We start from the raw sequence: 24,521 nt of genomic DNA on the forward strand, positions 1-24,521 counted from the left end.
GCAACATCCCATAAATATCTGGAACTGGCCCACCAGGCCTACATAGAAAAGAACTTAAGACAATCACAATGATGCTTGCTCTCCGCAGTTACTCTTCCCACTGGTTTATTTTGTGGGCAGAAGGCTTTTATCCAAGGTCCACCTACAAACACAGTGGCTCTTCCCTCTCCTTTTATCTGTCAGGTACTCAATAACTGCTGTGATTTTTCCCTCTTAACACTGCACCTGACTACACCCCCTTACAGGTCAATTCTGATTACCTGTAAAGTAAATGTCAACTCACATTGAGATTACAGAGTACATTTGAGGCTCTAAAACATTTTTCTGGAGACAAATTTTCACTATGGAATAAAGAGGATAAATGTGTGCCAGCTCTCTGTTGAGTTTACTCATCCAAATGAACCTTCCACCATAGGAGGCTGACTTGCAGGGGATGACAGAAGCAGATTCCCCAGTCCTCTGACTTCCCGTCAGGGCCAGCAAGGAGGAGCCCTGACAGGAAACCAGAGGATAGGAAAGGAGGGAAGCTGGTATACCCATTTTCTGGGCTTACTCCTGGTGGGGCTGCCACAGATTGACTGTGACCTTCAACTGGAATTCTCCATTCTTCTCAAAGTGGCTGTCTCCTTGCAGGTTGCAGTAATTACTCCCCCCATCACATTTATGCCAACTGGTGAAAACCATCTTGGCTTTTATCAGGGTTGCTCACACTCTACTCTTTGCTTTTAAATAGTTCCTTTATTGAACCTTCCATGAATTATCCTAATTTTAATGAGCCATTTTCTGATAGACTCCTGATACCTGACACATATTTGTTAATCAAGGATTTCTACGGAGGAGCCAAGATGGCCGAATAGGAACAGCTCCGGTCTACAGCTCCCAGCGTGAGCGACGCAGAAGACAGGTGATTTCTGCATTTCCATCTGAGACCTACAGCTGAGGGTCCTGTCTGTTAGAAGGAAAACTAACAAACAGAAAGGACATCCACACCAAAAACCCATCTGTACATCACCATCATCAAAGACCAAAAGTACATAAAACCACAAAGATGGGGAAAAAACAGAATCGAAAAACTGGAAACTCTAAAACGCAGAGCGCCTCTCCTCCTCCAAAGGAACACAGTTCCTCACCAAAAACAGAACAAAGCTGGATGGAGAATGACTTTGACGAGCTGAGAGAAGAAGGCTTCAGACGATCAAATTACTCTGAGCTATGGGAGGACATTCAAACCAAAGGCAAAGAAGTTAAAAACTTTTAAAAAAATTTAGAAGAATGTATAACTAGAATAACCAATACAGAGAAGTGCTTAAAGGAGCTGATGGAGCTGAAAACCAACGCTCGAGAACTACGTGAAGAATGCAGAAGCCTCAGGAGCCGATGCCATCAACTGGAAGAAAGGGTATCAGCAATGGAAGATGAAATGAATGAAATGAAGCGAGAAGGGAAGTTTAGAGAAAAAAGAATAAAAAGAAATGAGCAAAGCCTCCAAGAAATATGGGACTATGTGAAAAGACCAAATCTACGTCTCATTGGTGTACCTGAAAGTGATGGGGAGAATGGAACCAAGTTGGAAAACACTCTGCAGGATATTATCCAGGAGAACTTCCCCAATCTAGCAAGGCAGGCCAATGTTCAGATTCAGGAAATACAGAGAACACCACAAAGATACTCCTCGAGAAGAGCAACTCCAAGACACATAATTGTCAGATTCACCAAAGTTGAAATGAAGGAAAAAATGTTAAGGGCAGCCAGAGAGAAAGGTCGGGTTACCCTCAAAGGGAAGCCCATCAGACTAACAGCGGATCTCTCGGCAGAAACCCTACAAGCCAGAAGAGAGTGGGGGCCAATATTCAACATTCTTAAAGAAAAGAATTTTCAACCCAGAATTTCATATCCAGCCAAACTAAGCTTCATAAGTGAAGGAGAAATAAAATACTTTACAGACAAGCAAATGCTGAGAGATTTTGTCACCACCAGGCCTGCCCTAAAAGAGCTCCTGAAGGAAGCACTAAACATGGAAAGGAACAACCGGTACCAGCCGCTGCAAAATCATGCCAAAATGTAAAGACCATCGAGACTAGGAAGAAACTGCATCAACTAACGAGCAAAATCACCAGCTAACATCATAATGACAGGATCAAATTCACACATAACAATATTAACTTTAAATGTAAATGGACTAAATGCTCCAATTAAAAGACACAGACTGGCAAATTGGATAAAGAGTCAAGACCCATCAGTGTGCTGTATTCAGGAAACCCATCTCACGTGCAGAGACACACATAGGCTCAAAATAAAAGGATGGAGGAAGATCTACCAAGCAAATGGAAAACAAAAAAAGGCAGGGGTTGCAATCCTAGTCTCTGATAAAACAGACTTTAAACCAACAAAGATCAAAAGAGACAAGTCCATTACATAATGGTAAAGGGATCAATTCAACAAGAAGAGCTAACTATCCTAAATATATATGCACCCAATACAGGAGCACCCAGATTCATAAAGCAAGTCCTGAGTGACCTACAAAGAGACTTAGACTCCCACACATTAATAATGGGAGACTTTAACACCCCACTGTCAACATTAGACAGATCAATGAGACAGAAAGTCAACAAGGATACCCAGGAATTGAACTCAACTCTGCACCAAGTGGACCTAATAGACATCTACAGAACTCTCCACCCCAAATCAACAGAATATACACTTTTTTCAGCACCACACCACACCTATTCCAAAATTGACCACATAGTTGGAAGTAAAGCTCTCCTCAGCAAATGTAAAAGAACAGAAATTATAACAAACTATCTCTCAGACCACAGTGCAATCAAACTAGAACTCAGGATTAAGAATCTCACTCAAAGCCGCTCAAATACATGGAAACTGAACAACCTGCTCCTGAATGACCACTGGGTACATAACGAATTGAAGGCAGAAATAAACATGTTCTTTGAAACCAACGAGAACAAAGACACAACATACCAGAATCTCTGGGACACATTCAAAGCACTGTGTAGAGGGCAATTTATAGCACTAAATGCCCACAAGAGAAAGCAGGAAAGATCCAAAATTGACACCCTAACATCACAATTAAAAGAACTAGAAAAGCAAGAGCAAACACATTCAAAAGCTAGCAGAAGGCAAGAAATAACTAAAATCAGAGCAGAACTGAAGGAAATAGAGGCACAAAAAACCCTTCAAAAAATCAATGAATCCAGGAGCTGGTTTTTTGAAAGGATCAACAAAACTGATAGACCGCTAGCCAGACTAATAAAGAAAAAAAGAGAGAAGAATCAAATAGACACAATAAAAATTGATAAAGAGGATATCACCACCAATCCCACAGAAATACAAACTACCATCAGAGAATACTACAAACACTTCTACGCAAATAAACTAGAAAATCTAGAAGAAATGGATAAATTCCTTGACACATACACTCTCCCAAGACCAAACCAGGAAGAAGTTGAATCTCTGAATAGACCAATAACAGGAGCTGAAATTGTGACAATAATCAATAGTTTACCAACCAAAAAGAGTCCAGGACCAGATGGATTCACAGCCGAATTCTACCAGAGGTACAAGGAGGAACTGGTACCATTCCTTCTGAAACTATTCCAATCAATAGAAAAAGAGGGAATCCTCTCTAACTCATTTTATGAGGCCAGCATCATTCTGATACCAAAGCTGGGCAGAGACACAACCAAAAAAGAGAATTTTAGACCAATATCCTTGATGAACATTGATGCAAAAATCCTCAATAAAATACTGGCAAAACGAATCCAGCAGCACATCAAACAGCTTATCCACCATGATCAAGAGGGCTTCATCCCTGGGATGCAAGGCTGGTTCAATATACGCAAATCAATAAATGTAATCCAGCATATAAACAGAGCCAAAGACAAAAACCACATGATTATCTCAATAGATGCAGAAAAAGCCTTTGACAAAATTCAACAACCCTTCATGCTAAAAACTCTCAATAAATTAGGTATTGATGGGACGTATTTCAAAACAATAAGAGCTATCTATGACAAACCCACAGCCAATATCATACTGAATGGGCAAAAACTGGAAGCATTCCCTTTGAAAACTGGCACAAGACAGGGATGCCCTCTCTCACCACTCCTATTCAACATAGTGTTGGAAGTTCTGGCCAGGGCAATTAGGCAGGAGAAGGAAATAAAGGGTATTCAATTAGGAAAAGAGGAAGTCAAATTGTCCCTGTTTGCAGACGACATGATTGTATATCTAGAAAACCCCATTGTCTCAGCCCAAAATCTCCTTAAGCTGATAAGCAACTTCAGCAAAGTCTCAGGGTACAAAATCAATGTACAAAAATCACAAGCATTCTTATACACCAACAACAGAAAAACAGAGAGCCAAATCATGAGTGAACTCCCATTCACAATTGCTTCAAAGAGAATAAAATACCTAGGAATCCAACTTACAAGGGATGTGAAGGACCTCTTCAAGGAGAACTACAAACCACTGCTCAACGAAATAAAAGAGGATACAAACAAATGGAAGAACATTCCATGCTCATGGGTAGGAAGAATCAATATCGTGAAAATGGCCATACTGCCCAAGGTAATTTACAGATTCAATGCCATCCCCATCAAGCTACCAATGACTTTCTTCACAGAATTGGAAAAAACTACTTTAAAGTTCATATGGAACCAAAAAAGAGCCCGCATCACCAAGTCAATCCTAAGCCAAAAGAACAAAGCTGGAGGCATCACACTACCTGACTTCAAACTATACTACAAGGCTACAGTAACCAAAACAGCATGGTACTGGTACCAAAACAGAGATATAGCTCAATGGAACAGAACAGAGCCCTCAGAAATAACGCCGCATATCTACAACTATCTGATCTTTGATAAACCTGAGAAAAACAAGCAATGGGGAAAGGATTCCCTATTTAATAAATGGTGCTGGGAAAACTGGCTAGCCATATGTAGAAAGCTGAAACTGGATCCCTTCCTTACACCTTATACAAAAATCAATTCAAGATGGATTAAAGATTTAAAGGTTAGACCTAAAACCATAAAAACCCTAGAAGAAAACCTAGGCATTACCATTCAGGACACAGGCATGGGCGAGGACTTCATGTCCAAAACACCAAAAGCAATGGCAACAAAAGCCAAAATTGACAAATGGGATCTAATTAAACTAAAGAGCTTCTGCACAGCAAAAGAAACTACCATCAGAGTGAACAGGCAACCTACAAAATGGGAGAAAATTTTCGCAACCTACTCATCTGACAAAGGGCTAATATCCAGAATCTACAATGAACTCAAACAAATTTACAAGAAAAAAACAAACAACCCCATCCAAAAGTGGGCGAAGGACATGAACAGACACTTCTCAAAAGAAGACATTTATGCAGCCAAAAAACACATGAAAAAATGCTCATCATCACTGGCCATCAGAGAAATGCAAATCAAAACCACAATGAGATACCATCTCACACCAGTTAGAATGGCAATCATTAAAAAGTCAGGAAACAACAGGTGCTGGAGAGGATGTGGAGAAATAGGAACACTTTTACACTGTTGGTGGGACTGTAAACTAGTTCAACCATTGTGGAAGTCAGTGTGGCGATTCCTCAGGGATCTAGAACTAGAAATACCATTTGACCCAGCCATCTCATTACTGGGTATATACCCAAAGGACTATAAATCATGCTGCTATAAAGACACATGCACACATATGTTTATTGCGGCATTATTCACAATAGCAAAGACTTGGAACCAACCCAAATGTCCAACAATGATAGACTGGATTAAGAAAATGTGGCACATATACACCATGGAATACTATGCAGCCATAAAAAATGATGAGTTCATGTCCTTTGTAGGGACATGGATGAAATTGGAAATCATCATTCTCAGTAAACTATCACAAGAACAAAAAACGAAACACCGCAAATTCTCACTCATAGGTGGGAATTGAACAATGAGATCACATGGACACAGGAGGGGGAATATCACACTCTGGGGACTGTGGTGGGGTGGGGGGAGGGAGGAGGGATAGCATTGGGAGATATACCTAATGCTAGATGACGAGTTAGTGGGTGCAGCGCACCAGCATGGCACATGTATACATATGTAACTAACCTGCACAATGTGCACATGTACCCTAAAACTTAAAGTATAATAAAAAAAAAAAGGATTTCTACTTCTAGGTATTTAAAGAAATAACGAGATGCACGCAAAATTTCAGGGGTGTTATTAACGACTTTGGACAGATATATCACAATCAGGACTAATAGGAAAGGATGCTACCTATACCACCTGCTATGTGCCCTTAGCTTACTGGATCATCAGCAGTCCAGGAGAGGGAGGCGGGGAAACACAGGATATGACTGTTTTCTCATCAATATGGAAATATTTCAGTATTTTAACAACCAGTGTGGCTAAACTGGCTGACAGTCAATCCTACAAATAATAATCCTTATGCAGAATGACATAACAGCAAACAAAACTGGAAAAAATATATTTTCAATAATAAATTATTATTTATCATAAACCATAAAGGTTCATATCATAGAATGCAATGAAGCATAAAAAAATGTCTTGGACAAGTATTTACTCATTTGTGAAGATACAAACTACTTAGCAAAAAGCAGAGCAGTTACAAAATATCATAGGCTGTACAATCTCAATTTTATTTAAATATGTATGTATACATATATTTACATCTTTAAGTAAATAGACTGAGGAACTATATCAAAATGCTAATACTAATGTTTATGAGTAGTGGAATAATAATTTAATTTTCTTCTTTACAAATGTATGTTTTCCAAAATTTCTGCCATTAAACTGATGTATTTTATAGCAAAGATAACATTACTTTTTAAAAATGGAGCACAGTAAAAAAAAAGCTGCTACATTTTAAACTGAATCTTAAAAATCTTTTAGTTACTGTGCTAAAGCATTTTCACTTCTTCAGAACAAAGATTTACTACTTTACCTTGATATATCAGGGAATAGAGAACAGAGATGAACTTGAAGCAGTTCGGCATCACTGACCTGACAACCAAGTGGAGATGGTTGTCAGATAAAAAAATAATGAATCACTATGATACAAGCAAAACCAGAAATATCTAAAGATACAAAAATACAGGGAAAAGACATAAATTTTTTTTCTGGAAGGAGGTCATGGAAAGCTTCACAGAGGAAGTGATGACTGAGCAGGATTCTGAAGGCTAAACAGGAGTTCAAAAACCAGATATGGCAGGATGAAGCTTTTCTAGGAAAGAAACACCCCCATGCAAATGTTCTCGAGCATGAAACAGCCAGGAACTAAACAGATTTAGCTCTGCTTTCTTTCTCCTAAAATAGAAACTTGCAAGGATCTTGACTTTGACTGGAAGGAATAAGCATTTATGAAAAACATTCTAAGTGACAAAAATTGAGCTAGTATTTTGTTTTGTCTTTAATGGAGGAAATGAGAAAACTGAGGCTCCGGTAAGTAAGAACCCTCTTAGATATTCCTGGAATTTACACCCTGATGGGTGGTTAGTTACTTTATCTACATAGTATTCTCATGTATATATGCTATTATCGTATTCTATCAGTTGTTCTCATTACATAGAAAGGATTAAGATAAATTGGTGGTGTTCAAGGTTTTGGATTTACCTACTAGCGCACTTCCTCATTGCCACAGGAGTTAAATATTAACTCATGCTGATACCTGTCCAACATGTATGTACATGTGTGGGTGGGTGGGTTTAGGCGCAGGTGGAAATGAAGTATTGCAAAAATATCTGCAGTTTGGTGAGCAATTAATCAGGAAATAATGAGTGCTATACTGGAATAATCACCTTAAAAGTAAAACCTTCAATGAAAGCAAATCTTTCAGAAGTTCAATATGGGAATTAAATTACTTTAAAATTGTAGAATGTTCTAAACTTTTGCATTTATTGTTTTGAAAATATTTTTCAATGGTAGGCATTTTCAATCATTTATTTTATTACAAGGGGTTAATTCTGGGATTATTTTTTGCTACTTCTCAAGTTAACTATGAAAACCATAATTCTTTTTTTATCTTTTGGTTGGGTTTAATTATGACAATGTCAGTAATATGGTTTAGTTGTGTCCCCACCCAAATCTCATCTTGAATTTCCACATGTTATGGGAAGAACTTGGTGGGAGGTAATTGAATCATGGGGGCAGGTCTTTCCCATGCTATTCCTGTGCTTGTGAATAGGTCTCACGAGATCTCACGGTTTTAAGAAGGGGAGTTTCCCTGCACAAGCTCTCTTCTCTTGTCTGCTGCCACGTCAGACTTGCCTTTCACCTTCTGCCATGATTGTGAGGCTTCCCTAGCCATGTGGAACTGTAAGTGCATTAAACCTCTTTCTTTTGTAAATTGTCCAGTCTCAGGTATGTCTTTATCAGCGGCATGAAAACAGACTTATACAATCAGTGAAGGCATAACTGGGAAGTTAAGTATCATTAACTTGGTAAGGTTATTCATGTTTCAATTATAAAGAATTTACCACTTCAGATGAACTCACCTAGTTTCCTTTTTCTCTTTTCTTTTTTTTTATTTCAATAGCTTTTAAGGTACGAGTGGTTTTTGGTACATGGATGAACTGTATAGTGGTGAACTATGAGATTTTAGTGCACTGTCATCAGAGCAGTATACACTGCACCCGATACGTATTTTTTAAATCTCTCACCCCCCACTGCCTCCCACTCCCTCTTGAGCCTCCAAAGTCCATTATACCACTCTGTATGCCACTGTGTACACATAGCTTAGTTCTCCCTTATAAGTGAGAATATACAATATTTGGTTTTCCATTTCTGAGTTATTTCACTTAGAATAACGGCCTCAAAATCCATCCACATTGCTGCAAAAGACATTATTTCATTCTTTTTTATGGCTGAGTAGTATTCCATGGTGTATATATATTACACTGAAAAATGTAATTCTTTAATATGTCTATGTGAGCCAAAATCTACAAATGGTTAATGCAGATATTAGGTCAAGTGTCACTCTACAGTCTCCTGAATAGTACAGAAATCAAATTTATACCCAGTGCAATTTTTTCACCATTAAGACATTTTATTTGGCCGTGAATTTATTTGGCCAAGACAATAAATTCAGTTTTTCTTCAGCATGAACCAAATTACTTTCTTAGATGCACATTACTTTCCTCCAGTTAGATCTCTGTTTTTTGAATCCCAGGCATCCTAAAAGAATATTTTGTTAATTCTACTATAGCTCAATCTTATACCACTTGACTTCAATGGGCCACTATGAAAAAGGAAGCTGAGTTGAGTTCCTTTAAAGTCGTAAAAAGTAAATTAACATTGACCAAGCACTTTGAGGATAAAATAAAATGTCGAGTAATAATTATTCTTAAAATAAAAATAAAATCACAAGAAGTTGCCATTCTATAATTTTTTTGTGATTTTTTTTTATCTAATATCCCCCAAAGTCAGGAGGCAGTGTAGATGTACGAATATTGTCTGTATTTTCTTTCAAGTAAATGCAAAGCCAAACAAACAAACAAACAAAACACAAATGCACTTTTCACACCACGTTTTGCTCTCCACAACTTTTAGGCCCTAAGTACATACAAGCATGTATGAAAAAACAAATGCACTTATTTTCACACATTTTGCTCTTCACAACTTTTAGGCCCTAAGTACATCATGCATGTTTTAAATGCATCAAAGAGGCACTGCATTTAAAAGCAGTGAGACAGAAATGGACCAGATAGGCTTGGTGTGATAGTGACCACAATTCCAATAACTATAAAGGAGAGGAGAGGTGGACTACATCCTCTAAGCAGACTCTACTGAGCTTCAACACTATCTGTGCTACCTAAAATAACCAAGTGTTGGAAATCAGTTCTTTTATTCTATCATCAAAAAGCATGATTCAGATTGACAATGGAAATTTGATTTATATAATTATTAACAATTTTAAAAACTTTAAATAGTAGATCTCTCAAAAGACAAAATCCTTGGTGCATCTAGTAGTGAGAACTTAATTCTAAGAATTTAGAAGAACCTAGTGATTTCCTTGCTGGAAATTATAACCCACGGTTAAGCCTGAGGTTGGATGCCCACCCACCCTGCACCCCCATTATTTCTGCCTACTAATAAGCCTTTGTACTGTGTGGCCTTTCCTTAAAGCACTTTTTTTTTTTTTTTTTTTTTTACATTTTCAAGTGAGTACATAGTATGTGTACTTGCGGGTTGGGGCACCTGAAGACGAAGTGAGAAGCATTGTTGAGACAACATATCAGAAAATTCTTGCCTCTAGACAATCACTTAGGGGCTTGACTTCTGGAGAAAAATGGCAGTTTGTCAAATCCTTGACACACTTTTAATTTAGTAATTTTATTAGCATAATATGCCTACTAGCAAAAGAAGAAACGGAATTGTTTAAATTTTCCCTCATTCTGATAATGAATGTCAAACATTTTTTTAAAACATTTTAAAGGATGAGCCAACAACTTTAAAATAAATTAAAACACCATTAATTTTTAGTAGGTCTATTTAAATAATAATTTTGATTTTTGCATACTATTATTTATTTAGTCTTTTCTGTATCTTGCAGGGTATTCCTAAATTTATAATCTAGTGTCCAAAGATTTAATGAAAGCTCATTGCTTATAACAATCTGAGAAAAATAATATTAACAGTATAAAGGCAGAACACAGCTGGCTAATTTAAGTGAATACAATTTTTAAAAGCATTTACTCCATTGGGACTCATAATTACAGTATTTTGCCAGTAAATCTGTAAACATTTCATATCATATGTATTAAAAGATCATGCTTCTGAATTAGTAACTCTTAAAAGGTAAAATTAAATATTCATAAATTTCAATAATTTGAAACACCGCAGTTTGAAATTAATTGATAAAAGTATCCCCAAGTCCAGGAAGATAATAAATTGCTATCTTCTGTGTTACTGAAATATAATTTGTATTATTCCTCAATTAGTAACCCCTACAATTTTAACTGTGGTGATAAAGTGTTCTACAATATGCAAGGTGGCAATTTCAAAACCTTCCCCTAAAACCAGTATTCTCAAGTCTTTTAAACTCATAACTAACCAAGCAGAAAACTCTCATATAAAAAGTCCAGCAGAGCTATGAGTGGTTAGACAGGTTAACGCCAACCTACAGAGGAATGGAACAGAAAATACACATCAAAATCATTCAGGGATCAAGGGCAGCAAACTCTTGAAATGGTTAGAGAAATCATGGTGTGGCATATTTCTCTTAGGCAAGCAGGGTCATTTCTGAGTTGGTCCTTCTCAGTAACCCAAATGAATGAATGCTCTTTTAAAGTGCCCATTAACTGAGGTGCATTTTTCTGGCTGTTTTTATAAAGTGCATGCCATAACAGGTACTTGTTTGGACAAAGATAAACATCGCTTTGTGTTCACATGCAAGTATGGCTTGTCACTTGGCACTTTGTGAATTACTTCTCAAAAAGAAGTCCTACTTTCAGCAGTTCTTGAGGAAACAGACAAGGGATCTCCCTACAGCCACTGATTTTAGGAGGTAGGGATTAAAAGTGTCAGGAACAGAGCATCTATTTTTGCTCATGTTTTAATTGGAAGTATAGTTACCACTCAAGCCAACTGGAAGCAGAAAAGCCTTCAAGATAATACATTAGAAGAAAAGTTAAGAGGGACACTGAAGATCATAATCCAATTGAAGAAAGAACCATTGAGTCATAGGATATGAAAATTTGGATGGAACCTTTATTAAACTAGACGGGATAGTCTAATAGCTTCATTTAACCAATTCAGAAAAGTATAAAAACAAGTCTTCAGTGAGACCTCTTACCCTACAAGAAATACAAAATCTATAATAAAGATCAAGTAATAAAATAGGGCTTGCAGTTCCTAACCATTCACAGTGGACATGCTCCCAACACCTGCAATATACATACATTTTTACTTTCTGTGTTTAATGCTGTTTCTACAAATTCTGCCACGTGTATATGATCATCCGGCCATGCAGTAAAAAAGCATCACTCTAAAGTGGTATGGTCTATATTGGAAAGCAAGTGTTACTCCAGCACCTAAGTTTCTAAATACTTGAATATTTTTGCCTCCCACCAGAACTGACTATAAATATAATTATTAACCATCCCAGACAAACTATAAAGACTCAAATAAAAGTAGACTCAAAGGATAAACATATTGCATATTGAAGAATGCTACTAGAATGAATATGTCATCCTATAGTTTGGATTAATAGGGCTCAAACTATGAAATGTGTCATGTCATTTCAGAAAAAGCAAAAAAGTTTGAATGTAGAGAGAAAGGAGTAGGAGTTCATATAGCCACTAGACTCACATTTTTTACATGAACCATTGTAGGATATGCATTTTACATCATGACCTGGTACACAATACATACATAACTAAAACAAAACTTTTACAAAGCAAGACTTACCGCTATGTGCAATGCACTATGATATTTCTCTATTTCTATTTAACTTCTTAAGTAATGCTCATGGTGACCCACAAAACTGATTTCATGATACACTAATGAATCAGATCCACATTTTGAAAAACATTATACCAGAAGACTATCAAATCTTCTTGCCCATGGCATATTATTCATAAATCCCAGCATTCTTCCCAGCAAGTTCAGCTAAGCTTCAGAACCCATTTCAAACAAGCATTCCAGGCAGCGAGTATCAACTATAGTTGGGACACAGTCACCACCTAAGTTTTAAGAGGACAAAGTGCAGGGACAGAGTAGCTATTTTTATTATTTTGCACTGTTTGTACCCCCAGTGCTTGCAGAGCATCCAGAACAGAGCGGGCACTCAAATAACCACTAAGAGGTGAATCAGTAAACGACCACTAAGAAGATCAGAGGGTAAGCTTCGGTTTCTGAAGGCCCTCTGTAGCTCCTTGCACTCCATCTTTTGGCTACTTTGCTATCTTTAAATATAAAGCTTTCAAAATTCAATCACTTTGAGTACTGTATGTACCGTCCCTGCTCTCCAAACTCCACCTTTTAATAACAGTTACCTGTACTAGGCTACTTGATGGTGCCTCTGTTATTTTCAAAAACAATTAGTTTACACTTAAGGAATTACCAAAAAAGATTACAAATCATGATAGAGTCCCTTGATAACTGGAAAGAAGGACCTGCCAAAACATGGACTGGATATTAGTGCATGTATTTTCTTATTTCAACCCTTCAACAATCTATTTAGTTTCATATCATCAACCCATTTTACTGGTGGGAAACCAAACACTTGGAAAAAAGAAGTGAGGTCACACAATTAGTAAATGCTTGGCAGAGCCAGGATTTTAAACTAGGTATTTCATTGCTCTTTATTATACCTCAGCTGCTCTTAAAAATGGCATTTAAATTACAAAGAAACAATGACCAGAAGCCTCAAACCCATTTGAAGTGTGTGAATTGTTAACAAGTTATCGTGTTGGAAAAATAAAACCCTATAACTTAGTAATATACTTCATCACATAACTTTACTTTTTCTTTGCCAAATCTTTGTGAGTTATTCACTGCTGGGTATGTTTTTCTTGGCAGCTGTTAATCTTGGCTCCGACATAAGTTCTTACTGTAGAGTAATTCAGATACGTTAAGTCCTCTATTACACAGAGAAAAAACAAGACTCTCTCTCGTGTGTATGCGTGTGTGTGTGTGTGTGTGTGTGTTTATATTGCTCATGTCCAAGAGGAAATAAAAAATGGAAACAATATAAATTGGGGGTGTGTGCATCGGGCAGTTAAAAGACTTTGAAGGCAGAATCAACAATTTTGGCCTTTTGGCTCTCAGCAGAAGTAGTGTAAGGAAATGGAGCGGAAAAGAACAGTACGGGTCAGGTTTAACTCACATGCACCCCCACACAAGTGTACGCTGCTTGACGTAGTCACAAAACCTGCAATGTGTAATTTGCCCAATCATGACCATGAGTCACTGTAAAAGTTACTAAGAAGGTTGTTCAAAAAAAGCATATTTTTGTTATAACTTTAGTTCTCAACCAGGAACAATTTAGGGAACATTTGGCAATGTCTGGAGACATTTTTGGCTGACACTACTGGGTAAAAGACAGGGATGCTGCTAAACATCCCACAATGCACAGGACAGCCCCCCATAACAAGACATTATATGGGCAAAATGTCAGTAGTACCAAGGTTGAGAAACCCTGGTTTTCAGTGCAATAATATTTCGTGGACAACACAACTACTATACTCCAGCTGCCTCTCTGATCCTGTCTCCTCATCTGTAAAATAAAGATGATTATAGTGCCTCTTCATTGTGTTGTTGTGAGGATTGAGTCTGATTTATGTAAAGCATTTAAAACTACGCCTATGACATAAGTAGGTGCTAAATAAATGTCACTCTTATCACCACCAGCATCATCATCATCAAAGCTTACCACCATGCGGCATGACCCTTTATTAGGTGAATTCTCGGGGTGAAAGAGGATTCTGTGTTAAAATAAAGTTGGAAAATGGTAGGTTAAAATCAGACAAGTTTCTTTGTTGTGTAAATGCTTGGAATCTCTAATAAGCAAAAAATATAGGACATGGAGAATTTCACATTGATCTGACCAAAGAATCCTATGCAGAATCTTGCAGGACTGAACACTTTTAGGGAAAGGCCGGTGTGGTGAAAGGGCATATACTGAGACTCTATAAACAGGATTCAGCTCTTGAGTCTATCACTTATCTGCCATGAAGCTGGGTAAGGCCCTTGACTTTCCTTGGCCTCAGTGATCACCAACGCAAAAAAAAAAAAAAGCCCTTCCAGATCAGAAAGTCTCAGCTTCTCTGATGCTCCTGGTTGTAGCATATCACTGCAGACCTCAAAGACATGCACTGTCAGATGTCAAGGACACCAGGGTCAAGCAAAATGAAGAGCTATGACAATTCCCAGGATAATTATGCTCCCCAAATTCCTGTTACTAAGGAAGCTCAAATATCCAATGTGGGAAATCAAGAGGAACATGATATAAAAACTAGCCTTATCTGTTGTGTTTTTGCAAATGCAGTCTAACTTTTTAAACAGAAAGCAAAACTAGCAAAGAACAATATGGTGCAATTTTTTAAAAATCTCAACTACCTAAAGTGTAGACCAGTATTATCTCCTCAATTATCTTTTAGGTGCTAAATAAAATCAGCACAGAATACGGCAAGAAAGGATTGCTACCTCAAGGAACTAAAACTCTATTTGGGGAGGAAAATGCACATATATCAGACATCCCGTGAGTGCTGACAGTTTAAACAAAGACCAATGGGAGCAGAGTCATCTCAGTTATTGCCATTTTTGATAAGTCAAATGCACAACAGCAAAATACAAAATAAAATTTAAAAATGAAATATAAACATTTATCTTTTCGTTTGGGTTTCCAAGTAAGTGTTTTATACCACCTTATTGTTCAGCCATCATTGACAGGGGCCAGGAAGGTATTTAAACTGCAGGGTATGTGTACTATTTGTCATTCACTATACTCTTCCTCCCTGAGTGCACTGGTAAAAGTTTGGCCTGAATCCTCCATGCATGACAGAGATGTACTTTTCTGGGATACAAAGTGAAATGAGTATGCCTCGTATTGTCCAGGGCACGATTTCTTCATATTACAACCTTAAGATATTTTAAATTGTATAACTGGAATCTTTTACTCTGGAAGAATAGCCAGTGTACATATAGGTTATCCTTTCTTTTAATCCATTAAAGTCCATACCCATTTCATGACTCTGCATGGCATCTGTAATCTTGGGGTCAGGGAGGGAGAAACCAAGGTGTATGCTAAGACTCTTCTGTCCTCAGCAACCCTCTTAACCCAGGTACTGCTTAGATTGAACAGGCCGTGGTAACTGATAAGCAACATCTGCTCATTTCCTCATTGTTCACTCTCATACATGACTATGCATAAACTAGTGTCATTTTCTAGAATTCCATAGGTTCCACTAACTCTATTTCTGATGACAAACTTGTTTGTCTTTTTTTCTTTCGAAACCTTATGTTTCAGATGAATTTAAATGTAGTCCCTGTTTTTCATTTCCAGACACAAAAAGAGACAATGGCTTCCTCTTTTCAAACTGCTTTAGAATATTCTTTTGTTCAGAATCTCTTTCAAAATGTTGAGGTTTGGTTGTCTTTGGTGGTGTCCCAGAATGATGGTTTACATCATCCCGCTCTCAACCTCTCCCCCCATGCACAAGCTTTGCTTTCCTAGAATATAACCACTCTGCTCTGGTGAGCCTCAAAAGAAAAATTCTGATTTTAAAAATCTAAAGCTTTAATTACTTTTACTATTTAAAAGCCATTTTCCATTATAAAATTTATCATATAAATTTGTCTAGTTTTGTCTTTAACCTTTTTGCTTTGACCTTTGAACATACCCTGTTATCAATGTTTTTGCTATTAAAGCTCCTTTTGTTTCTTTGCATTTTAATCACTGTTTTGTTTCATTTGCAAACTGACTCCGTTCACTGCTTAGTCCTCTGTTTTGGTTCTTTTATTGTGTCCCCATGCTGAATTTCAGACACTGCAAAATGTGAGCCCTGAAAAGGGCCTTTGCATTTACCCTATTCAGGAGTGCAGGATCATTAACCACCACAAAATAAAAACTAGTTCCAACTTCCTCTGCCATCAGGGATAGAAAGCAGTGGGGAAGCTCTGAGAGGGAAGGTAGACTAGAGCCAAAGGGAAAGCATAGGTCCCGGTAGTGCTTCACCTGGATATGGATGTGTGTGTGTGTATGGAATGGTAGTGTCCTTGCATGTGGAGTTCCCATAAGTTCCCTAGAAGAGTTACAGTAACAGCAGTCACGTGAAACTTAGCAAGGAGACCTTGAAGATTTTAAAAACTCTTAGGCAGCCCTGAAGTGGGTCCTCAGTTTACACACTGATAGCCCAGGCAACTCACCCAAAGCCACATGGGAGTAAACACTAGAGATTCAGCATGGCAACCCAGATCCCTTCCTCTAATAGTAGGATACTAGCAAATACTATTTGCAAATACTATTTGCTAATACTATTTGTGAATACTATTTGCTAATACTAGCAAAGCAACATTTCCACCTTATTCTTTGGCTTTTACTTTTTCTCTTGTGAATTTAGTTCTATGAAATCTTGTTTCAGCACACATCTTAATTATGGCTGGCTCTGACAGTTCTGTCTCAAGTCCACAACTTCAACAGACTTTATACCCACACACAAGATCTATATATCCACGCCAAAGGTCAGGTGTGATAATAATGAAGAGGGAATTATCATTTTTAATGATAAGCTACCCACACTTGTTACTATACTTTGCAAGCACATATTATAATTTTCATAGGCAAAGACATATTATCCTTTTATTCATTGTCTCATTCATTGTTTTAATAAATGTTCAATGAACACCAATTTTGGGTTAGGTGCCTCGAAGACTATACTTATATTCCAATTCCAGTGCCATGGCTCTAAAAACAATGATCTATATGGTTCCTTTAGTATGGTCTTCAGAGAAAATTTAAATATCAGATTTAGTACTTTAAAGACACTATCTGCCTCTTTTGGTCATAAACATTAATTACTACCTATACCATCTGTGTCTTTTGCCAGACTTGGACATGAAGGACTTTGAATTAGTTCTAAAAATAAAAATTAAAATATGTGCTATAGCTGAGGACATCCAAAATGCTGTACAAATGACTCCCAAACAGGTTTCAAGAAGAGTTCCACAGATATTCTGCTTAATTAATGTGATATATAACAAAGTAATTAAGAGCAGAGACATAGAAATAGGAAAGACTTGGATTGGAGTCCCAGTACTACACCATTTATTAGCTGTCTGACCCCTTTAATCTCACTAGGCCAGTTTTCTTCTCTGTAAAATAGGAACAATCATGGCGCTTAGATGGGAGGGTTATTTGAAGCTTATCTGCGGTAATATAAGTAAAGCATGGAACCCAGGAAATGATCAACAGAAAGCGCTATAATTGTTATCACTGCTTTGACAATCAGAAGAGTTGGATGCATTTTATTTTAATATTTACTTTTGAACAAAATATTTGGATGAAGCTGACACCCTGGCAGTTTTAGAAAACAGTTTTGTGTTAGTTCTAGTTAGTATTTTAGATGTGATCTGAAATAAAAGTAGACAACAGTCAATTATGTGGCTCTGTTTATATTTTAATAATTTATTTCCATTTATATTTTAATATTTCCAGTAAAATTTATGTTTATAGCTTAGCTAATAGAACTATCTAACACATAGTAACTTGCCCATTATTCTGAAATATGTGGTCTTATCATTTCTACTTCAATAAATTTTGCAAAACAAAAAGGCCACCAACACTTACGATTAGCATAACGAACATCTTCAAAAGGAAAATTTACTTTTCAAATAAATCTGTTTTTTAAATTATTCTTAACTGGGCTATAACTAGCTCTCCATTTTTATATTTCCTTTTGACAGTGTGTTAATTTACAAAAGGAAATACAGAACATTAGCTTTGACCAATTGATAAATACATTTATTTTAAAAGGAAGCTGAATCTTTAAAATGTTTTGATCATCTTTGTCAGTTCATAAGATTTATGGCTATTTCTCCAGAATTTGAAAACCTCTTAGCAGCAAAAATAAAATTTATATTAAAGATTTATTATTCAAAAAACCATCTAGTTGGGTAGTCTTTTATATCTCTTTCCGTTACCTTTCCATACAGTCTTCTTTTGTCTACAAAAATATTTTCAGTCATTTCTGGGTATTGAAAGAAAATATCTTTTAGCTTATATTATTTAATACTTAATAACATTAATATGTCATTAAATTTTTCCTCATATAAAAACTAGAAATTTATTTCCAGAGATTAAAAAGTTATGATAAAATTCTAATTATTCGATTATTAGAAGCAATTAGAAAGCTACTTAACACATATCAGTCCAGGTATTAACCTGTAATTTTTACTTTGAATTACAATTCAAACTACTGTTTTTCAAGACCTCCATTTAATTTGCATAAACATATTCATTTGAAAAGTGAATTAATGTTGCAGTTTTCATTCTGTTATATCATCCTAATCCCAATTCCAAAAGCATAAAAAGCAATGTAAAATTTTATCACTGTTAACGTGCTAGGAAACATGCAGCCATGTTATAAAATTATTAAAGTCCAGCTGCAAAAAAGCTGGGGTTTGTGTATTTGTTTTCAAATTTTATCTACTTCCATTCTCACCTATAAAAAGGAAATGAGTTTTGAGTCACGGCACAGAATATGAAAAGAAAATGTCAAGTGACAATATTACCAGTTTTTACTTCAAAAACCACTCTAGTTAAAAGCTACTTAAATCCTAATTTTTAAGGCTTCATTTACTTTATGTGGATTTTACTTCAGAGAACTCACACTTTTAGTGCTTTAGTCCACTGCTTCTTATATGAAATTTTTTATTTAGTTAATGAAGTTGAGATAATCAGTAAAAGGTTTGATCAGTGAGGCAAAACTCCCCAGGATAATCATTCAATAATGACTTTATGACTGGAATTTCTACTTCAACATGTGCTATAACTCAAAAATCTCAAGTTATTTTAGATAGTAAGATCGTACCAGTTTGACTTTTGGGGAAATCAATCCTTTGCTTGTATTCAAACCTTGGACTCTAAAATAGTCTCACCTCACATACTAGAAGCTTCTAGAGCAGGACTTTCTGAGATGATTTCTTTATCTTATTTTATACATATCCAATTTACTAACGTGGCCCAAGTCCACCTGAAATTTGGCAGAAATAAGACGTCAGTTGTCGGATTACACTGGTTTTTAGATGCAGTTCATTTTCCTTTCCTGCTACCCTCCTCAGAATCAAAATTACCTCTAAGCAAAGAACCTAGATTTAAAATACAAAGAAGAAAATCCAACACAGAATTACCTAAGGAGAAGTGAAAGAACTTTTCTGTAACCAATGCTATGCCTTCTTGGTCACTTTAATATTTGCCATTTTATTGTACTTTTCCCCTCTTCCAAATTGTAGAAGCACTCTATAGAAGTAAAACAAAAAAGAGAACTATAACGCAAACTCTTAATAATTCAAAATAAGTGAAAAACTTAGATTCTTGAGCCACACTCCCCTATATGCTACCTACCCTGGCGGACTTACAATCAAATCATACTTTATTTCTTTCTAATTAGGTTGAAAGTAGTATGAACAAGGCTACTGCCTATACACAAATGGCACTAATTTTCCCATTTGGGTCTAAGTCTTTTAACTTCAACTGTTATGCCCCTGGCAAGGAAGTAAAGCTGAATTGGACAAGACCAAAACATTTCGTGGGTTTGATTTGCTGCGGATCATGAAGTTGGCTTTGCAAATGGCAGAGAAGGGGACTCCTTCACTACTGCTAACTCACAGGAATCAATGTGAAAGAGCTGTGGGGAATTAAGACTCAGAACTTCTTAACTGGCTCAGATTCATATGGACTCAGGCTTATCAGGCAGAACTATGATCAACCCACGTAGCAGGTTTTATTAATTTTCCCTATACAATCTTTCACCGCTCAGTAGTCGATCCTTTGTCAGAGGCAGCACAATCACAGAAATGGAAACTGGGCCACAAACTGCTTAGCATAAATGTTTCCAAGGCCAATAAAAATGGCATTTTTCCCCTGCCATTTGCCCAAAAGTATAATTTTTATTAATATAATTATTATTTTACTTAAAGAATCAGTGCTATTTGGACATTGCTCTTAAATGGAAATTACTTAATAACACATTTAATTTAGAAATTGGCTTCTAAATTAATGCTGACAGCTTGGAAGCTGGTATTTAGACAAAATAGAGTAAGCTGTGTATTCGATAAAGCCATGATTAAGGATTTTCAAATGAGATTTATTTTTTCTGTTGTCTGCTGTATTTTAGTACAACCAATAACTACATCCTGACAAAAAAATTCAATTACATAATAAAGCAGAAACTTCTAGGAAGTCCGAAAGTAAGTTTTGTTCTCAGACTCTTTTTACTCCCCTCCATACTGCAAACCAGCACACATATATACAATCGATTTTTCCCCTTCATCTAGACTCTTACCAAAATTATTTTAATAATTTCCTGGACTGCCTTCTCACATAAGATGTGGATAAAAAAGCCTCAATATCCATAAATACAGCAAGCACTTATATTGTACAAATAAAATAACTGACTTACTTTCTAAACACTTAATTGTATTTAAAAAGATGACATAGTTAAGAAGTCCTCAGTGAAACTACAGTTTATAACACAAAGATCAAATTTCGCTGTTTCTTAGTTAAGATTGACCTACCCTAGATCCAACAAAAGTTGCTGTTTTTTTTCCTCACTTCCATAAAAATTTCTGAATCACTTGGGAGATTATTTCTAAGGAAATAGTTGTGAAACCAAGAAGCTGTTCAAACTTAAGCATCAATTCTTTTGTTAATTCATTTTATGATTAAAAGAACTACCAAAAACATTACTCTCTAAGAATCCTATCATTATATGTATTTTAAAGTGTCTTCAAAAAGCCATTTTATCTTAAAGCTGGATTTCATTCCTCAAATGTTAATAATCTGGGATTGCATCTCTTGCTTTTTTACAGTTAAAATTTGTTTAGAGCCCCCCCGATGTTTATATGCCAAAGCTACCTAGATACACACAATGAAGAAAAACTGTGGCAATTATATGAAAAATATAATGACATCTGTCATTAAATGTCAATGTTTCAAGTAAAACATTTCTTATAAAAACCTGTTACTGAAGAAAAGAACTGTTAAAGTACATGAATTAAAGTATTTTTAATTATCCCAAATACGTACCAACCAAATTTAACTACAGCTTAGTTTTTTAGGCAAACCAAGATGACTATTTTTTTTAATCTGAGAAAAACATGGTATGTAGAAAAATTCTATTTTATTCAGTTCAACACTCTTCACTTGAGGATATGAAATTTATAAGTATGCAATCTCCTTGAAATTGTAAAAATATAATACACAATTTTATACTACCTTCTAATTTTACTTCCTCAAGCATTTGTTGTAGTTTCTAGAATAGCTATCTAGCCATTACACTGTACATAAAAGTGATCCTCCAATTTATTTCCACTTCTAAAAAGATGCTTAAATATAGAATAAAGCATTTCATACCTCCCTTCTCGTTTAAAATTCCAAAAAGGGCCAACAATCCACATTATAGGTTAAACACTTTGTCTCTGTTATACACTTTTCAGAATTTATAAGACTGAAAAATTATAAAATTTCATCCAATGAATAATTCTGTACTTTATTAAAGTCTGGTTTCTCTAAACATTTACCTATCATCTAAGCAATATTAACATGTACAACAAAGTAGTAATATGGTATAAATAGAAAATAAACACTCCAAGCTGATAATTCCATAAGGTCTAATGATTCTATTAAAACAAACACAAATCAAAATTTTCCATTTTAGGGCCCCAAATTCAACTTGAAACATTTTTTATATGATAAGATTAAAGCAGCTGCCCAATTTTCAGGAAGCTCTGTCTCAAGTTAAGGAAAAAAAGAGAAAGGAGGAACTATAGTTCTTTGGGTGACTTAAATCACTGCCTTTTTTACTTTTTTTGCCTTAAAATCAAGATAAAGTTCTCACCTAAAGATTAACCTCTGAAGACAATGAAAAATAACCAGGATTGGACTTTAAAAAACAACTTAAAAGTCAGCCCCCTCATACAAAACTCGACAACAAATAAACCTAGACTTAACTGTCATTTTCAAATCCAATTTTTACCTGAATTGGTAAAAATTTATTTAAAACAAAATGCAAAATACAATATTGTTTCAATTTTGGCCCAGGAGATAAACACTTTAATGCAGAGTTAATAAACTCCAGCGAATAAATAGGATCATTTTCCTAATTTCACTTCAAAGCTGCCAGGATTTCAATAAGGAAGTTCAAAGGCCCGATTCCAGAAACTAGAGGTCCCCGGAAAGTGAGGGGCGTCTGGCCACAGCCTCAGTTCCAAACCAGGTATAGTTCTTGAGCTGTCATTCTTAGTCCTATTACCACTAATACAAGGTCAAAAAAACGGTCCTGTAAGGTGTCAATTAAGGGGTCACTTTTGCCTAAGGTTTCCTTAACTTCTCTCCTAGTGAAGCCGCTCTAAGTGAACATTTCCGCTGTGTTTTTTTTAATGACTGCCATTGTCTCGCTGGAGAATCGGAGGCTCTTTTAGAAGTACTGTTGGAAAATTCAGGATTTTACAAAACATTTTCTCAGCTGTACAGGGCAAAAACAAACTTTAATCCTACTAGCCATGGGTGTAAACCACAAGCCTAATTTCTCTTCTAAGAAGGGAAAGCTTAGTTAAGTTTTAAAGTGACAGTAATTTTAGGTGGTAAAATGAGCTCAACTCAAACATCGCTGTATGAAAGCGCTCTCCGCCAACACGCTCATGGACACACACAACTCCTTCCTCGAGGTTTAGGGACAGAGAGCGAACCTGTGACTTCGGGCCAGGATGACGACCTGAGATTTGGACAAGAGGAGGCGGCGGTTCCGCGAAGAGCCAAGGGCGGCCGGCGCTCCGGGATGCGCCGGACCCCGCGGCGCATCCTCGTTTGGGCGCCAACGGGCGCCGGCGGTCCTCGGACCCGGGTGTCGACTGCCGTGTGCCCACTGCCGTGTGCCCAGGCCCCGAAGCCTCCTCAACTCCTTGAGGGGCGCCTCCCTAGCCAGCTCAGCGCGCAGCGGGACCAAGGCTCTCCCAGCTTACCTGCGGGTCCGAGTAGGAGGACAGAAGCGCCGCCCGGCCTCGCCCAAGCGCACACGAAGGGGCCGCTTCCCGCCCCCCGCACCCCAGACCAGGCGGCTCACGGAACACCGCCTCCCAGCTCTGGCCCGGGACCAGGCGGTCCCCCAGCCGGCTTCGGCGCCGCGGCCGGGGACGCGCGTCTTCCTTCTCCAGGCGCCGGACGTGGAACCTGCGAGCCCCTGGCGGCGCCCCAAGTTATGCACAGGTCGCAGCTGCTCACCAAGCTCCTCCTGGGAGGCCGCCCTGGTCCCCGAGAGGGGCGCGCGGGAGTGGACGTTCCCGCACCTTCGCCCCATCCACACCTGCCGCCGCCGCCGGGGCCGCCAGCGCCGTGGCTCCGCCCCGGCTCCGCCCCTCGCCGCCCCCGGCTCCCGCTCCAGCCGCCGCCGCGACCGCCGCGGAAAGGAGGGGGAGGGAAGAGGCGCCTGGACGGGGCTGCGGGAGCGGCCGTGCTGAGCCTCCTCCCTTGGGCCCGGACGGGACCCAGGTTTCTCCACTGCAACGCAGCTCCCGAGTGACGGAATTTTGTGGGGGAAGCGGCGGCCACTACGCTCGCTTTTGGCACAGTAGCCCTTTGCGGGTGGGAGCTTCTCGCAGTCAGAGCTAAGGGAGAGGGAGTCCACCTGCAAGAGCCAGAGCTCGCCCTTGTACTCTCCGAATGCAAACTTAGCAAATTGAACAGCGGAAGTACTTCCTTGGTCGGACCCCTGCTCTTCTAGGGGTCTTCTAGAAACGTGGCGGCTATCACAGGCCCCGTGGTATAACTGGCATTTG

General features: G+C 37.6%; 1 long non-coding RNA gene across 4 annotated transcripts in view, besides 1 other annotated feature; it reads right to left on the bottom strand.

Moving 5' to 3' along the window:
• The window catches only part of MIR31HG (MIR31 host gene), a 105,531-nt gene extending 81,513 nt beyond the window's left edge, over positions 1-24,018 (bottom strand). For 2 of the 4 annotated variants that reach the window (NR_152878.1, NR_152877.1), the window contains exon 1: positions 23,968-24,018. This is a non-coding gene — a long non-coding RNA (MIR31 host gene). Of the gene's footprint in view, positions 1-23,708 lie in introns of all 4 variants that reach the window. The other 2 variants (NR_152879.1, NR_027054.2) reach the window with 1 other exon arrangement.
• Positions 22,793-23,579: an enhancer, noted in NCBI's record as "NANOG-H3K27ac hESC enhancer chr9:21558572-21559358 (GRCh37/hg19 assembly coordinates)". NCBI's record gives its function as "activates a minimal SCP1, AML or CMV promoter by ChIP-STARR-seq in naive H9 embryonic stem cells {active_cell/tissue: H9 hESC(naive)}" and the evidence as "EXISTENCE:reporter gene assay evidence [ECO:0000049][PMID:30033119]".
• Positions 24,019-24,521: the final 503 nt, after the last annotated feature.

Source organism: Homo sapiens, chromosome 9, assembly GCF_000001405.40.
Source record: "Homo sapiens chromosome 9, GRCh38.p14 Primary Assembly".
Classification (NCBI taxonomy): domain Eukaryota; kingdom Metazoa; phylum Chordata; class Mammalia; order Primates; family Hominidae; genus Homo; species Homo sapiens.